The following is a 17,522-nucleotide window of genomic DNA, read 5'->3' on the forward strand; positions in this document are numbered from 1 at the left end:
AAACTTATTCATGGGACTTCAGTGCCTTAGGATAGTGTCAATTTAAAAGACATTCACATTGACTTCTTTTTTATTTAAACATGCTAAATGAGGTATGAAAAGCAGATTAAGAAATCAACTGAGAAAGGAAGAGCAAAGAAGAAACCTATTGACAAGAAAATTTTAAATCATAGATTGATGTACTCTTTAATCAATTTTCATGGACCTATTGCTGACAGCAGGCTTTAGCAACTGCCTCCTAATCCTTCCTACAGCTGTAATTTTGCTCTTCATGTTATTTCACTCATCTCACTTATAGTGAATTTGGAAAATTAAAAATAAGTAAAAACTATTTGAATATTTTATAGATTTTTTTTTGCTCTTGAGACGGAGTCTCGCTTGGTTGCCTAGGCTGGAGTGGTGCAAAGGTGCGATCTCGGCTCACTGCAACCTCCGCCTCCCGGGTTCAAGCGATTCTCCTGCCTCAGCCTCCTGAGTAGCTGGGATGATAGGTGCTTGCCACCACGCCCAGCTAAATTTTGTATTTTTAGTAGAGACAGCATTTCACCATGTTGGTCAGGCTGGTCCCGAACTCCTGACCTCAGGTGATCCACCCGCCTCGGCCTCCCAAAGTGCTGGGCTTACAGGCATGAGCCACTGCGCCCAGCCTATTTTATAGATTATTTTCAATAAATAAGTCAAAAACCAAATTGTTTGACTTTTCATAGTAACACTGGATTTCGAATTAAAATAACTTAGTAATATTTTAAATTAAAAACGTATTCTTTTGTTCAATCTCTTTAGCAGTTAATTATGAACCTACTGAACTGCTGGAACGTCTGTTATTTTGGAAATAAAGGAGTTTTTTTTTTCTTCAAGCCAATTGGCCATATCAGAGATAACTGCATTTAAATAAGCCTTCATCTTCCCAATTATGTGCTCCTAATTACTCGGGGTCACTGAAATCCCATGGCATCTTCTGAAAAGCATTTTCCCTGCAGTCCATCTTGTTAGGTTTCCTTTCTGTTCCGGGAAGCCAGTATCTTTTCCTTTATCAGATTCCTTTTTTACCAACAGCGGGAATGGTAATGGTGAATGGATGCAGGGTTTTAAAATCAGCCAACTTTGTTCTGACTTCCGTAGGTCAGTGACTGGAGTCACTGCCTAACAACCTAAATTCCCAGATTTATCTCATGAAATGTGATTTCTCATACAAACAAAAGTTGTGAGAACTCCATGAGCAAGACCAGCTGCTTGTGGGGACTGCCAAATTTTAAACTGTTATTTGAACAGCAAAAAGACCAGGCAAACATCCGAGAGACAGACCTAACTGCAGATAAGTCTTGTAATCTTGTTCACTATAGTCAAAACAGAATGGATTGCTTATTCTGTTACCCTATTGGTATTGCTCACATTTTAAAATTTAGGTGCTGGGCTCAAGAATGATAATTTTATTATTAAGCTTCAAGAGTCACATTGTATTGTATGCATTGAATATCACGAAATCGAAAACACTGAAAAGCTAGCGTTTACATTCTTGGATCATACCCCCAAAGGCCAAGGATTCCCACTGGCCGCTTGCAGCAGGGCTGTCTCCTGTGAAGGCAAGAGACAAACGAGGAGCGTTATGACACTTTGCTCCCAGGACTTTGGCGCACAGTTCCCATGAGTCCAGGTCCGTCCAGTCAACATCCTGAAGCCAGGACTGGCAGGTCCTGACCCTCCCTTTTTGCACCCGTAAGGGGAAGGGCCCGGGAATCTGGACCTTGTCTAGAGTCCCGGCGCCAGTACCAGTTCGGAGGGCATCCTGGAGGTTGTTACTAACCCGAGCCTCTTCCAGGCTTCCCAGGCACCAGGGTTGCTAACAGCTCCACGGGGGCGAATAATTTTGTTTATTTTGTTAACTGTGGTTATCTCCAACACTCAGTTCAGACCTGAGCCGGGCAAAGTCTCACCTTGTCTCCTGGTCACTTCCCTGCTTGTTTGTTTCTTCCTAACTCCCAAGTGTCTTTCGCCCAGTTCATCCCCACCTCAGCAGCCCAAGGCTCGGCGGGGACGGTCGGGGTTCGAAGCCTGCAGCTAAACTTAGAGGGTTCAGGCTTTGCTGGGAGGCCTCCCTGTGCTCAGAAGAGCCGGGGGTAAGCTGGGCGGTCGCCTTGGGTGCAGACAGAGGCGCAGGGCCTCGGCCTCCAAGAAAATTCCCAAACCGAGAGGCTGAGCTTCGCGTCTGTAGTTACTGAGCAGGAGCTTCTGGGCGGAACTTCTAAGGGCCCCGCCCGCCCCGTCTGCCCTGACCCTCGCCCGGACTCGCCTCGCCCACGTCCCGTTTCGCTTCGCCCCAGCTCCGTCTCGCCCCGCCCCCGTCCCGCCCGGTTGCGGAGGCGCGGGGCGCCCCCGGGTGGCCGCGGGCAGTGCTGCTCCTGGCCGGTGGAGGCGGCGGCTGCGGCAGCGGAAGGGGAAGCGCTGAGGCGGTGGGGCCCACAGCCATGGCGGAGCCTGTGCAGGAGGAGCTCTCGGTCCTGGCCGCGATTTTCTGCAGGCCCCACGAGTGGGAGGTGCTGAGCCGCTCAGGTGACTACCCGCGCGCGGGAGGGACAGGGCGCCCTCAGGGGCCACCCGCGTTCGCTTTGCGTCTCCTCCCCACCACGGAGCCTGGGCACCCCGCCTGGGCCCACGTATGGGGACCGGGTTAGTTGAATGATGGAATGACACGCCCGGAGGCCGGAGTGGTGTCGCAGCGGGCGGGAGTGTGAGGCGACCCCAGAAACACTAAGAGAGCGGCGCGGCCCACTGGGGCCTCTGCCGCCGGTCCCGCTCCCGGAGCCGGGGGCCCCTGCGTGCGCACCCCCAGGCCCTCCCCCAGCCTCCCACCCCTCAGATCTCACCCTATAAAGAAGCCTGTGCTGACGCCCCCTCGTTGTTCTGTGTCCTTCCTAAGCACTATGCCCTAGGCCCCCCCGAGAGCACTCCCCGGTTCTAACTCTACACGGGTATTTGTAGGTCTTAAGTTGCAGGAGGGCAGGGTCTGTTTGGTAATGACTCCAGGCACCTGGTAGGTAGTAGGTAAATGTTTGTTGACTGAACTTTTTCATTTATCCAGTGCTCAACCTCAACTTTATCTGCATTCTATTTCCAAGTTGATTGCTTTTCTGATACTTTTTTTTTTTTAGGTGGAGTCTCTCTTGTTGCCCTGGCTGGAGTGCAGTGGATCCATCTGGACTCACTGCAGCCTCCGCCTCCCGAGTAGCTGGGATCACAGGCGCGTGCCACCATGCCTGGCTGAATTTTATTTATTTTATTTTATTTATTTTTTATTTTTTAAGACGGAGTCTTGCTTTGTCGCCTAGGCTGGAGTGCAGTGGCGCGATCTCGGGTCACTGCAACCTCCGCCTCCCGGGTTCACGCCATTCTCCTGCCTCAGCCTCCCGAGTAGCTGGGACTACAGGCGCCCACCACCACGCCCGGCTAATTTTTTGTATTTTTTTTTTTAGTAGAGACAGGGTTTCACCGTGTTAGCCAGGATGGTCTCGATCTCCGGACCTCGTGGTCCGCCCGCCTCGGCCTCCGAAAGTGCTGGGATTACAGGCGTGAGCCACTGCGCCCGGCCTTTTTTTTTTTTTTTTTTTTTTTTTGAGACAGAGTCTTGTTCTGTCCCCCAGGCTGGAGTGCAGTGGCGCGATCTCGGCTCACTGCAAGCTCCACCTCCTGGGTTCACACCATTCTCCTGCCTCAGCCTCCCGAGTAGCTGGCACTACAGGCGCCTGCCACCATGACTGGCTAATTTTTTGTATTTTTAGTAGAGACGGGGTTTCACCATGTTGGCCAGGCTGGTCTCAATCTCCTGACCTCGTGATCCGCGCGTCTCGGCCTCCCAAGGTGCTGGGATTACAGGCGTGAGCCACAGGTGCCTGGCCTTCTGATACTTTTTTTTAAACAAGCTCTTGAGGGCTTTATTAGTCATTTAGCCCACATTTATTGAATCCCTGCTGCCTACAGACTTTGTCAGGGTTTCAGAGACACCGCTACCCATGGCCTCTAGGAGCTTACAGTGTAGAGAGGTTCTTTTGACTATTTTTTGATGATAGGTGAAACTTACTGTCCCTGTATGTGGCTTCTATTGAATAAAAAAAAAAGAAAAAACACTGCCATGTATGAGAAAGTGACTCAGTTTTCACTTAGCTTTCAGATACATTATGTACATGTTTGGGGCATGAGATTTATCGTTCTAATGTTATATTGTAGCTACCATTAAAATTGGCTTTCTGACCATAAATTGGTTAACCTTTAAGAAGGTAGTCTAGGCCTGGCGCGTGGCTCATGCCTGTAATCCCAGCACTTTGGGAGGCCGAGGCGGGCAGATCACCTGAGGTCAGGAGTTCAAGACCAGCCTGGCCAACATGGCGAAACCCCATCTCTACTAAAAATACAAAAATTAGCTGGGCATGGTGGCACACGCCTGTGATCCTTGCTACTCGGGAGGCTGAGGCAGGAGAATCACTTGAACCCGGGAGGCGGAGGTTGCAGTGAGCCAAGATCTCACCATTCATTGCACTGCAGCCTGGGTAACAAGAGTGAAACTCTGTCTCAGAAAAAAAAAAAAAAAGTAGTCTAAAAATGGGCTGGATGTTGTGAGAAAACCATTTAAGATTAAGATCCTTCATGATATCCATTGGGTGTGTTATTCACTGAAGGACAGGGAGTTGACTTCCATTTATTCCTTCTTGCATTCATCCACTCACATCCACTCATTGGGCACTGTTATGTTCCAGGCACTATGCACCTATTAGTGTAATGGAGTTGCTTTCTTTTTAGTGCCCAGCCTGACTTGTATCTTTTGAAACAATTGTTTAAAATCCATATGAAGGGGTTTACTCACTTTTAGTGTTTTCTTGTCATCCCTCTTCTGATTGGATAATTCTTCACCATCTCCCTCTCTGTCTCCACTGTTCTCTTTATTGATAATTACTTCTGCCTGAGGCAGCTATTTGAAGAGATCATCAGTTTTCCTAAATTCCTTTATTATGGCTCAGTTGGGAATATCCTGGAAAAATGAACCTGCAATTTCCCATCACACCTTAAAGAACTGGTAATGGTCTGGGTCATTAGTACACAGCTGAGCATAAAACACTGCTGAAGGGTCAGAGAAAACCCAAAAATGTAAGCATAGAAAGAAAACAGTTTCTTAATCTTGAGAACACTGTGAACCCTTTATCTGCTGTTAAATTGAGCATGACTTTCAAGCCATGCCTCCTAATTAGTTTAATTCCATGTTCTGGCATCAATAAGTAATTGAATTATAAAAGAATTCAGTGTAACAACTTAGGACATTTTGTTGCTGAGAGGTAGAATAATTCAGTGATTGAAATGGGGATGTTTGATGTTCACAAGTGGGAATTAAGGGGGTAAGGTAAAGGCCTTTTTTTTTTTTCCCATGATTTTCGTAACATCTTTTTACAAAGTAAGGACTTCTTTAACAGACCACAGTAAACATGCAGCAGACTGCTGGCTACCACTCACCATCACTGTCAGTTTGGGTTGGAGGATACACACTTGATACCAGAACACTCTAAACACTAGTTCTTTTCTGGCCTCCCCCAAATAAGGTTCTCCCTTTTGCCACTGGAATCAGGAGAATGTTGCAGAGGAATTGCATTCCTGGTAACAAGATAACCCAGCAAGACTCAGACTGCTAACCCAAGGATCAACTATTAAGGCCGTAAGATTGAAGAAGCTAAATAATTGGATTCCATTTAGCTGGACTAATTTTATGCTGAGAATTTCAGGGGATTTTATCTGCCTTTTGATCTCTTTACAATGGTTATAGTAAGCTTCTAGTAAGAGGCATAACCATCTCTTAGGGGTGCAAATTAAGTAAGTCCCTACACTCCCATCTACAAGGGAGGGCTGTGGATAGACCACATTAGGGATATTCTGTTTTTCTGTATGCATTGTAGTCAGTCCAGGTGCCAGATTTGATGGGGTGACCTGCCATGTACGTGATACTTGAAATGCATCTTACTTGATGAGGGGTACTATTGGTCTTACTTCACAGAGAAGATAACTGATACTCAGACTGGTTAAATAACCACCAGGCTCCAGGTGTATGGGCCTTTGCACTGCATCATGCTCCTTAATAGAGAGATGGGGCTGTTGCATCAGGAAAATAGTTCTTGGAAAGCAAGGAAATACTTGTGCAGAAAGAGCGATAATGAGCACCCAGAGAAAAGATATGAGTGTGAGCCAACTTATGTTCAGAACAATCCCAAAGGGGAGTGTTTGTGCATGTATGTGTGGATCTATGAGAGGCGTGAGATTGGTATTGTATCACCATTTTCCTGATGAGGAAATTGAGTGACACAGATTATGTGGCCATAGTCAATGTTCGTTATATGTGGGAGTTGTGCTTCTGGAAAGAATCTTACAGATAAAAAAGTTGTAAGATGGGAGAACCCAATATCATGTAATAGGTTTTCACAGAAGCTGCAGAGTGAATTTTTGTATTTTAGCAACACTAATGTTCAAATTAGTTTGGGCCTTCTTATAAAATGAATCATGACTGTCACACATTGACCCCTCTAAATCTGCTCAGCTCGGTTTTATGCTGATTGTCAGTATTGAGCTGACTTCTATAAAACCGATGAGATTGCTACTTTTAGCTTCATTTATTTTTAGTTTTTTTTTTTTTCTTCTGAAGCTACATTGAAACTTATGTAAAAATCCAACTGAAGCATAAAACAAGCACTGGTGTATGCTTGCCTGGGAGCTGCCTGGGAGCAAGAGGAGACAGTCTTGTCTTACCAAGTATGAGAGGGTGCTGAAGGTTTCTTGGTGGTTTTCTTCAAAGTTGTATCTTGAGGATATATAACAATTGCAAAGAAAAAAAACACAAGTGTAGGGAAGGTCAGATGTATATGGTATGTAAACAATTTCTTAATGGGCTCTTAGTGAATCCTGAAAAACCCATTCTCTTAAATTTTACCTTTTTTTAAAAATGTCTTCTGTTATTTGACTGCATTTATAGAGTTTCTGTTGTGTGTTGTATTTTATTAAGTAGAATGAAACCTTAAAAATAGCATTAGTGTGAATTTGGAGTTCTAAAAGTTTAAGTTTCTCTAGTTTGAATTTCTGTTTGGAATGTGTTTAGGAGCTTACTTTCTGATGTTTGTAAGGAAGCATAAGGTTTGAAACCTGTTTCAGTTTGTGTTTTAGGTATGAAAATGATACACTTACTATAAGACAGAATGATTTGGTTAGAAACAACAAGTAGTCAATTTGTATCAACTTGAACAAGAGGGCAAGACCCTTTTGGTAGGGTCTTTAGAATACATGAAAACACCCTTGGACTTATGGAGATTTTAGTTTTCTGGGGCAAGCCTTAAGTTTTCTAGGGCATAGATGTTTGTTGAGAATGATCAGTTTGTGAATTAAGCTTATTAACTAAGGTTCTGGGGGGCTAAGGAGGGGCAGAGATTAGTATTAGATTTAGAGCATAATTATTTTTCTGCTAATCACTGTTTCTAAGCTGTTAATAACCTTAAAGCAGATAGGGGCAACTTTGTTTTCTTTTTTATTATGGCAAAAAAAGAAAACAAAAAATCAGACTTACAGTGCATGTGTCATATGAAAAATTCTGAGGCAGAAAGGAGCCAGTTTAATTGCTTGTACAATGTCAAGCAGATGAGATATGGAAGAGTACAATACATACTTCTAGAGTTTTTGGGAGAAAATGAGTTTTTAAAAGTATGTAATTTTATTGCCACATTAAATACCAGAAGAATGGAGTATGTTATTGGGCTTTTCAGTTTCTTGTAGAGATGACAGTATCATTTTGTATAATCTTATTTTGCAGCTACAGTGTATGTGTGGGTGGGCAGGGGGATTTACCAAGACCAATTAGGAAGAATGCTAATCCTTTCCAATTCTTAAAAGAACTAAGGCAGTTTTCTTCCGAACATATAACTAGTATGACGGTCACAGTTTTCTAAGGTGAAAGTCAGGAGTTTCACCCATTGCTATTCTGTTTGCTGACTAGGACCAGAAAATAACACAGAGAAAAATGAAAATTGGTAAGGACTGACATGGCTGGCTCAGTAGCTTTTCAAGACTTTCCCCCTGGACTACCAACATGTTTCTTTCCTGTGGTTCCCTGCACCAGAGAGGACCCGGTAGGTGTTTATATGGCACAGGTTGGAGAACACTGTGGGTCTCAGGGTTTTGATCAGAAAAGGATTCTTCAAAGTTTGCAGCATAGCATCTTGCTTCAGTGCGGATACATTGCCTTCTTTTGTAGTAAAATCTCTGTCTCCTCCTTATAGGGACCCTTGTGATTACATTCAGGGCTCACCTGGGTAATCCAGGATAATACTCCCCTCTCGAAATCGTTAACTTAATCATGTCTGCAGAGGCTCTCTTGCCATGTGAGGGAGCGTATTCACAGCTTCTGGGAAACAGAATGTACACATCTTTGGGCCCATTATTTACCACAGGTACCAGGGATTTCTGCACCTGTGAGATCCGTGATTACAAGCTACTAGCACAATTCCAAGAGCTGTATGACTGTACAATTTAAAAGTTTTTTGTATCCCCCCATTTTGGTTGTTGTTTAAAAAGAAAATCAAGATATTTCAGTGCTGGAAAAAATGTTAATTTAGTTTAACCACAATAATTCTGGACATGAAAATACCATAAAATAAGTTTGAAATACCATGGAAGTCATTAGGTGGGACTTAGGGAGGAACTGTGGAACTGGACAAAATTTTAGTAGACAGAAAGTTAAGGGCCTTCTTGGAGATAATGGGAGCAAGAGGCAGAGATGGGACACCCAAGACTGAGGACATGGTATAAAATGGGTAGTTGAAGCAAAAAGTGAGGAGAGAGGAAGTCAGAGTGGTAGGCTGGCCCTAGGCGTTGCATGGAGGAATTTGTAATTCATTTCATTCTGGGAGAGTGGTATTGGGATAATTTGGTGTGGGGAGAGGCAGGCGGCGAGGAGACCACTATTGCAGAAGCCAGAGAAAGGCCTGAATTAGGAGGGTGGAAGGGAGAGAAATTCTGGAGGACTTGTGGGATTTGGCAGTTGAATGCTAAGTATGAAAGAAGGAGGGAAAAAAAAAAGTTGAAGGCAGCTTTAAGATTTTATGCCTAGGCTAGGTGTGGTGGCTTACACCTGTAATCCCAGCACTTTGGGAGGCTGAGGCGGGTGGATCACCTGAGGTCAAGAGTTTGAGACCAGCCTGAACACTGCAGTGAGCCATGATCACCCTGCTGCACTCTAGCATGGGTGACAGAGTGAGACTCAATCTCAAAAAGCAAACAAAAACAAAAAACAAGCACAAGACCAGTGATAGAGTTTCCTGTGGAAGGGAGGAAGACACTTCTTTCTCAGATAAAACAGTGAAAAAGAGCAAGATGATTAAAAAAAAAAGTATAATCAAGTGGCCCAGCAGTTCCTAGGCAGCAATGACAACTGCAGTTCCTTGGTCACTAACACACTTCCATGGATTCAGCCAGTAAGGAGACAGTGAACCCAGATGGATTTGGACAGTTACTGCTTAATGCACAGCAGGCAGCATTAGCTTCATGTTCACATTGATTCTCCTTGTCCCCCAAGTTCAATGGGGTGATGTAGAGGTAGGCTGAGGTGCATACAATGCACTCAGTGGGTCTTTGTTATAGCTGAGGGGCAGTGAGCTTAGGAACCCTCCGGTATTATGAGGGAGCTGCTAGTGATCCTGCTCAATCTTTGTCCTGAAGGAATATGTTACCTTATATTGCTTAGGAAACAAATCTGCCCCCTGACCTGGAGGGATAAACTCTAGCTTCCAAGGCTGTCGGTTATGCAAAAGTCCTTGAACAAAGATATTAATGCCCTTTGCTCAGAAGGCATTCAGAAATGCCAGATTGTGGGCATCCGACCCGCAGACACTGACCTAGTGATGGATGAGAGACGTACACTGACACAGACATTTTGCTTGTCAGTGTGGCTAAAGGGGTTCTGCTCCTGAATCTGCAGTGTAGGCCATGATAAGCCGGTGAAGTTCACATTTATTTAGTACAGATTAAATGACAAGGGTCATGAGTAAACACCACTAGAAGGTAATTAACATTGCCACCCCTCCCCACCCCCCCCAGGGGAGAGCAGTCATGCACCCACAGATAATCAAAGGTTGCTCTTAGGACCACATGAGTAAACAAGCTATTTAGGTAAACTCTCCCACATTCCCTTGTTATTTGCTCTTTTGCTATCAACTCGAGGTAAAGAGGATTCGGCTGCTTTCAGCCAAATCTTTTACTGAAGCTATGCACCACCACCCCCCAGCCTTCTAAGAAGGTTTGTGACTATTTCCTATAACTATCTTTACAATTTTTCCTCTGCAGTTTTTCCCACCACCCTGACTGAACTCCCACACCAGATCCCTGGAGAATTATCTACCAACACAGACATTTATGTTTATATAAATTATATGTACATGTATATGTACGCATATTTATGAATAAAGAAATGTTTAGGTGTAGAAGAGAAGTCAAGGAAGATCACTTGGGATATATCCCTGCTCTCGTGTTCTGAAACACTGGATTGAGTCAATATGATGGGATCTGTGTCTTACCTGTCATTTTCCCTCAGAGACTAGTACAGTGCCTTGAGCTTAGTAGGTGTTCAGTGAATGCTTGTTCAATGATGAATGATTGAAGATCTTTAAAAGTTCTCCTCCTTCTTGAAGAGAGAATGTCAACTCCCTAGATGATTATTAGAAAGTTTATTCAGCCTAAATGGTTGTGTGTTGTCTGCAGTTCTATTTGTAATGTCTGTTTTACATATTGAAATGTACTATTTTAACATAGGCAGCCTACTTTAACAATAAAGTATTTTTTTTTAAAAGGGTAAGTAGTTAGGCCGGGTGCGGTGGCTCATGCCTGTAATCCCAGCACTTTGGGAGGCCAAGGCGGGTGGTTCACCCGAGGTCAGGAGTTTGAGACCAGCCTGGCTAACATGGAGAAACCCTGTCTCTACTAAAAATACAAAAATTAGCTGGGCATGGTGGCATATGACTGTAATCCCAGCTACTCGGGAGGCTGAGGCAGGAGAATTGCTTGAACCTGGCAGGCGGAGGTTGCAGTGAGCCGAGATCATGCCACTGCACTCCAGCCTGGGCGACAGAGTGAGATTGTGTCTCAAAAAAAAAAAGAATAAGTAACTAGATAGAAGAAGAAGGGTTTTGAGAAACATGATGGGTTTTGGAGGAATGTACAAAGTTAGATTTGGAAAATTCTTCTTATGAAATACACATATAAATTGTATCATTTTAATATGGTCTTCTTAACGGTTAACTGTCTATGTTTCCAGATGATGTCCTAAAATAGTCGTTCCTTGCAGCTGGTACTGAAGAGTGTATGAAAGAAAAACTCTGTAACAGATGTGTCTGGTCCTGTATGAATCAATATCTGTAGCAATGGCTTTTATATATGTGGAATCAGAAGGCTCAGGAAACAATTTTAATGTTCTGTTAGGTTCTTTAAAATGGGGATACATTCAGGTCTCAGTTGTTGAGGCTGTTGAGCAGCAATCCAGGTATGAAAATGGGAAAGATTTGACTGCTTCTCTCATGCAGGGGAATAAAGCAAAGGCACGTGCAGAGGGAAGTAGGGGTAGAGAGAGGCAAGTTAGCTTCAGAGAGATTTATTTGCACCCAGTTCTGTTCTACTCAGCCTGACGTTTTATCATCTTTTTGAAAAGTGGCATGAAGTGGTGTGGAACACATCAGAGGGTGAAGCCAAGCAAATCTGAAAGAGAGCAGAGGATTTCATATGATATCCTATGTGTGCTTTCCCCTTCCTTCTTAGGAGCTGGAAGAGGCAGAATTGATGTCCACTCAATTTCAGTTCATCTTGCCACCTTCATATTATACTGATACTAATATATGTGAAATAAGAAGAGAACATTCCAGGCAGTTACTATGTCACATGCAGTCATCAGTTTCTCTGCAACCCTACAACCACAGGGGATTCCATTGCTTGCTTTGACTTGGACTTCTCATAAAATGACTTTCGTTGGATTTAGTGTACAATTTTTAAGTTAATTACTGATTTTGTATATATGTGGTATTGTATCTTTGAAAGCTCATATGAGTTTATTAGGGATTTTCAGAATTATCAACTAAATCTGGCTAGAAAAAAAATTATCTGATGAAAAACCTTTCTGGTAACTTAATAAAAATGGGGTGATAGCAAGTGTAAATGCCAGTTAAATCCTGGGTGCTGGTGTGTGTGAATACATGAATACATGTGTATGGTTGAAGGAAATAATTTGTAAATCATAGCTTTCCTAGTATTACGTGTCCCTTCATAAAATAGCTCAGAGTTTTCTCATGAAAAATAAATTGACATTTGAGACAAAAGTTTGAACTTGCTGGTGTTCCATTCAAATTGAATAATGTACAGCTAATGATTATTTTTGGATGCCTTCCAGAGACAGATGGGACCGTGTTCAGAATTCACACAAAAGCTGAAGGATTTATGGATGTGGATATACCTCTGGAATTGGTGTTCCATTTGCCAGTCAATTATCCTTCATGTCTACCTGGTATCTCGATTAACTCTGAACAGTTGACCAGGGCCCAGTGTGTGACTGTGAAAGAGAATTTACTTGAGCAAGCAGAGAGCCTTTTGTCGGAGCCTATGGTTCATGAGCTGGTTCTCTGGATTCAGCAGAATCTCAGGCATATCCTCAGCCAACCAGAAACTGGCAGTGGCAGTGAAAAGTGTACTTTTTCAACAAGCACGACCATGGATGATGGATTGTGGATAACTCTTTTGCATTTAGATCACATGAGAGCAAAGACTAAATATGTCAAAATTGTGGAGAAGTGGGCTTCAGATTTAAGGCTGACAGGAAGACTGATGTTCATGGGTAAAATAATACTGATTTTACTACAGGGAGACAGAAACAACCTCAAGGTGCCAAAAAGTTAAATGTTGAGTATGAATCTGGCTATTTTCTGCTTTAAATGGTGTGTCTTTAAGTGTGTTTTATAACAATGGGATAGATTAATTATTAAGATGTTTCTGCTTTCATTATTACAATCTTAATGGATCTTCCTTTTCTTTTTAAAGAATGTCTGACTGCTAATTACAAGTACAAACTTGCAAAGCTTGAAGAATAAGATTGCATTTTAAAAATCATGTCACTTAATAAAGTGACAGGTTATTTAAAAGCTCTGTGGCACATGAGTGTTTGTTTCTGTAATTAGCTATGAGCTTGAATTTTATAAATGTGCACTAAAAGTTTGTGCATATTAATATTTCTTCCCATAGTTAGGCACAGCAAGGTGTGTATTTGTGGATAGTCTGCAAGATTTGTAACTTTCTGGCTGTTAAAAATACATTCTGACACTTTAATTTGGTATCTATAATACCTGGAAAGAGGAGCTTGTCTGTTATAACCGAGATTTCATGTTAGTAGAAGTAGAATCATTAGGGCTGTCAACTTGTCACCTCCTACCTAACTTTTGCTTTCCACCTGACTTGTCTCAGCAGTTGCTTTCAAAATCATCATCTTCTTCAGATTTTTCAAGTTCTTATTCTAAACTCATCTGACCTGTTTTAGGTGGGACAAGATGAGGAAAACTGTTTTTTATATTTTAAATATTAGAAGAGCTACAAATCAATAGGTTTTATACTTTCAGATAGGTTAGGTCATGAATAATTACATTTGAATTTATTTAAGACAAATTTAGTGTGAACAGTGAATTTATTTAAGACAAATCTTAAAGATTTGTAGAATAATGACTTAGTTTTTTCATGATGGGCTCTTACCACAAAACTGCTTTGGCATTTGGTTAACCAGACTCATGCTGGGTTAAAGTATATAGATATAACAGTAATTCAGATTTAATGCATATCTTGGATTGGGACTGACTGAGGAACCTCTTGTTTTAAAGTGATTTGTAGTATATCTATAACGTTTGATCCTTTTGGGTAAAATAGTAGCTGACAAAAAATAAATACAAATTAATTTTCATGCTCATCTTTACCTGAAAGACTCAGATTTCTCTTTAAGCCAGCTCAGGAATATTAGGCTAAACCCAGCTGTTTTGCAGATGTTCTTACTCAGATTGAAACATCAATTAATTAACAGGTATCTATTCATATTTAACTAGAACCCTGCTAATGTAGAGAAAGAATACTTTTTTAGGAGATCTTTTTTCAGTTCTCTCTAAAATGTCATTTTATATAAATTTCTCTTATATTTTTATAAGATTGTATACTAGGATTGAGGATGTATAGGTACATATTTATAGATGCTATCAATTTGGAATGGTAAGTGCTGTGTGCCTGGTAATGTCATTTAGCTGCTGAACTTGTAATAGTAAGAACAGTGGCTTGTGCTCTCAAGTGTGCCATGGCGCTATATCTAGATACTCCTCTAGTGCTTTGCATGTATTATCTCATTTAATTAGTACAACTTCCCCATGAGGTAGATCCTGCTATTAATTCCATTTTATGGAGAAGGCAACTGAGCCACAGAGGATTTAAGTAACCAGCCCAGAGTAAGAACTAGTAGGCAGTTCAATCCAGATTTAAACTTGAGGAGTTGGATTATATTGTTCTTTACTCCTGTATCCACCACTACATTATTCTGCCAAGTATGTTAAAACAAGTATATAAAAATTCTTACTGCTTGATTTAAAAAGGGGGTATTTAAGCATGAAAATAAGCCTACAGGTTTATAGCTCCTTTAAAACTGGGACTTTGAGACTCAGAGTAAGATATGTATTTAATGTACTGATTTATTATTTAGGAGTACTTGATTCTTCAGAAAACCTCCAAAGTAGATGTGGACTCAAGTGGAAAGAAATGCAAAGAGAAAATGATTAGTGTACTGTTTGAAACAAAAGTACAGACAGAACACAAAAGGTATAATTTAGTACTATTGCAGATGGAAAAGCAACTGAATCGATAATTATACTCTGACAAATCTAGGCATATTCATGAGTTTCTTTTGTATAATGCAGGTTTCTGGCATTTGAAGTCAAAGAGTATTCAGCGTTGGATGAATTACAAAAGGAATTTGAAACTGCAGGACTTAAGAAGCTTTTCTCCGAATTTGTACTTGCTCTGGTAAAATGAAATGGAAGACAGGAATCTTTTAGTAAAATAGCAGTGTTTTTTGTTGTTTTTGCATTGGATTTGGGGAGTGGTTAATTGAAATAGTCAATTTTAAAGTTTCTCTGAAGCAAAATGATAGGCATCATTCTAACTTCAGGAACAAAAGCCAGTTCTGTTTTATGAAATATTAAACATGAAGAAAACTTGTATATTCTAATGTTTGCCAGGAAAGGCTAGGTTCAGTAGATGAGACATTATTTAAAAGATAAATTTAAAAAGATGGTAAATGAACACTTGTTTTTATAGACAATATTTGTTTGAAACTATGTAATTTTCTGGCTAATTTTCTTGTAATTAAATGATTTTTTAAAAAAGATTTGTTTTCATGTTTGCTTTTCTTATGTTTATATTTTTAGCATTTGATCGCCATTTTCCCCCATCCAGGTTATGTCTAATGTTTTAATAAATGTTAAGAAAAATATAACACTGATTTTTTTTAATGGAATTGCATAAATTGTTTAACTGCAAAGTTCTATAAAACAAGATTTATAGTTGCTTTTTGAGGGTGTTCTAGAATAGCATGATACTTGCTAGCCTTAGGACTAGAGATTTGATTCCAATTAAAATTCTTATTTGAAAAATTGAACTTCTTGTTTTATAAGAAGAGAAATGTTCATACAGAATGAACCTGGCTTGCAAGATGGAGGAAATTATATAAAAATACTATTTTTTATTTCTTATGAAATCGGTCAAAACATGGTGAAACATACTTATCATGACCTAATGAGAGAAGCCGTAAGATAAAACTTGTATTAAAATCTGTAATAAAAACATAAGTAGATATTTGTATCTCGGAAAGGATATTTGTACGCATGAAGCCACTTGGGCTGCTAAAATAAGGGGCTGAGTCATGGAAGAAAGGCCAAGTGAATCCCTTTGGCTGCCACCTATGAAGTATAGTGATATCATTATATAATTATAACTGATGGGGGAGGGAAGTGAGGAGAATGTGGCATGCTGAGCAGTGTTTCCTGACAGTAATGCTCTGTGATGATGTCAGTTCAATCTGATTGTCTTATTTTCAGGTACCTTTATAATTTAATTATACCTATCTGTTGATTATTTTATGGGGTTTCTTTAATGAGGAGATGTTCAGTTTACTCTCATTCTAGTGTGTTGATTTTTTTTTTTTTTTTTTTTTTGGAGAACTGGTAAATGTAGTTAGATTGTTCTATGGCAACAGCATGTATAGCAAGGAGAAGCTACCCTTCTGGTATGCAGAACTGAGAAAATAGGCTTGAAAATTTGGGACTGCTCATTATTACCCCTTCATTTGATTTACTGTAGTTTCAGTGAAAATTAAAATAATGAAAAAGAATAGAGTTGAGAATATTGGCCATATGGTTGAGATGGATTGAGGGGATCATGATATAATAATATTTTACCTTGACTCTTCTCTGCAAAAATATATTCCTGCTTATGCTTTCTGGTGCCCTTTTAGCCTTTCATCTTCAAATCTGACTCTTTACAGAAGAGCTTGAATCAGATCAACTTGAATGTTTGCTGTAATGACTTTTTCCAAATTAATGATATTTTTATCTGCTAAAATTATTTTTAAAAATATTGGTTATTATTACTTTCTTAGATGTTTACATCTAAGTCTTTCACATATACATACACATCAGAATAGAAAACTAAAACTTGACAGAGTTAGCGATTTATATAAATGTAATTTGACCTCTGGATAAAAGAAAATTTTAAATTATATACCAAAAAGCTATGAGTCTCTTTGGTATTTCTTTAGTATTAGAGGAAGAGACTCTTAATTATTTGCCTTTATATTTTTTGCCTCAAACTCTGCTGCTTTCTTTTCAGCTTGAGATACTTATGAAAAGATAATTAAGACTTCTGCTTCAGTGATGGTGGACCAGCTTTTCACTGAAGAAAACTAAAAACAAAATATAAAACACATCCTCTTAAAATAATCAAAGTAAATAAGACAGTGAAAATTGCTGGGCTAAATCTTGGAGGGGAGAGAAGTAAACCCAGCACTTAGGGCTATTTTTTCCTATGGGTACATTGGCCACCCTGCAATAGTTAGCTGAAGGGCCGAGTTCATTTTTGTCAGCTTGAAGATGTAGGGAGTAAATTTGGGGTCTGGAGGATAAAGTAGGTGGGGCCAAGAGCTAGGACCCCCAAAGGACTACACTGTGTTAATAAAGGTGAACTGTACATAAACCAATTGTCCTAGACTATAGGTAAGGTTTGAGAATTCTGGTGGGTCCAGAAAATCTTAAATCTTCAACTTGGATGATTCTAATACTCTCAAATCCTCCAAATCTTCTTTGAAGAAAGCTAACATCCTCCTAAGGCCTCAGATTATATCTGTGAATAATTTTAAAATTCAGTATCTCGCAAATGATCAGAGGTAACTGGAT

At 40.7% G+C, this 17,522-nt stretch overlaps 2 protein-coding genes and 1 long non-coding RNA gene across 10 annotated transcripts in view, besides 2 other annotated features; 2 read left to right on the plus strand and 1 right to left on the minus strand.

Annotated features, from left to right (window-relative positions):
* RWDD3-DT (RWDD3 divergent transcript) overlaps positions 1-2,217 on the minus strand; it is a 70,764-nt gene extending 68,547 nt beyond the window's left edge. For both annotated transcript variants that reach the window (NR_125949.1, NR_125948.1), the window contains exon 1: positions 1,935-2,217. This is a non-coding gene — a long non-coding RNA (RWDD3 divergent transcript). The remainder of the gene's footprint in view (positions 1-1,934) is intronic.
* Positions 1-13,190, plus strand: part of TLCD4-RWDD3 (TLCD4-RWDD3 readthrough) — a 127,033-nt gene extending 113,843 nt beyond the window's left edge. The window contains 1 exon segment of the mRNA NM_001199691.1: positions 12,446-13,190. Coding sequence (NP_001186620.1) covers positions 12,446-12,485 — 40 coding nt within the window. The 3' untranslated portion in view covers positions 12,486-13,190.
* Positions 2,186-2,515: a silencer, noted in NCBI's record as "silent region_1105". NCBI's record gives its function as "represses an Ori minimal core promoter by ATAC-STARR-seq in GM12878 lymphoblastoid cells {active_cell/tissue: GM12878}" and the evidence as "EXISTENCE:reporter gene assay evidence [ECO:0000049][PMID:35858748]".
* Positions 2,390-15,460, plus strand: RWDD3 (RWD domain containing 3). 7 transcript variants are annotated; one of them, NR_103484.1, is made up of 5 exons: positions 2,390-2,550; positions 8,012-8,045; positions 12,800-12,886; positions 14,777-14,892; positions 14,991-15,460. NR_103484.1 is itself a non-coding variant. In NM_001278248.2 (5 exons), exons 2-5 carry the CDS (start codon positions 8,105-8,107, stop codon positions 15,103-15,105), a joined length of 759 nt encoding a protein of 252 aa, NP_001265177.2. In that variant the 5' UTR covers positions 2,445-2,550; positions 8,012-8,104; the 3' UTR covers positions 15,106-15,460. The 7 variants fall into 7 exon arrangements, 5 of the variants coding, with proteins under 5 accessions (NP_001265177.2, NP_001265176.2, NP_056300.3 ...); NM_001278248.2 differs by having other exon boundaries at positions 2,445-2,550; positions 8,012-8,144; positions 12,446-12,933; NM_001278247.2 differs by having other exon boundaries at positions 2,445-2,550; positions 8,012-8,144; positions 12,446-12,886.
* Positions 2,726-2,905: a silencer, noted in NCBI's record as "silent region_1106". NCBI's record gives its function as "represses an Ori minimal core promoter by ATAC-STARR-seq in GM12878 lymphoblastoid cells {active_cell/tissue: GM12878}" and the evidence as "EXISTENCE:reporter gene assay evidence [ECO:0000049][PMID:35858748]".
* Positions 15,461-17,522: the final 2,062 nt, after the last annotated feature.

This window comes from Homo sapiens, chromosome 1, assembly GCF_000001405.40.
Source record: "Homo sapiens chromosome 1, GRCh38.p14 Primary Assembly".
In the NCBI taxonomy this organism is placed as follows: Eukaryota; Metazoa; Chordata; class Mammalia; order Primates; family Hominidae; genus Homo; species Homo sapiens.

Coding starts and splice junctions, on each gene's coding strand:
- RWDD3 (NM_015485.5), top strand. CDS start 2,466: ATGGCGGAGCCTGTGCAGGAGGAGCTCTCGGTCCTGGCCGCGATTTTC. Junction 2,551..12,445: donor GGAGGTGCTGAGCCGCTCAG/GTGACTACCCGC, acceptor GATGCCTTCCAG/AGACAGATGGGACCGTGTTC. Junction 12,934..14,776: donor GAGACAGAAACAACCTCAAG/GTGCCAAAAAGT, acceptor TTTATTATTTAG/GAGTACTTGATTCTTCAGAA.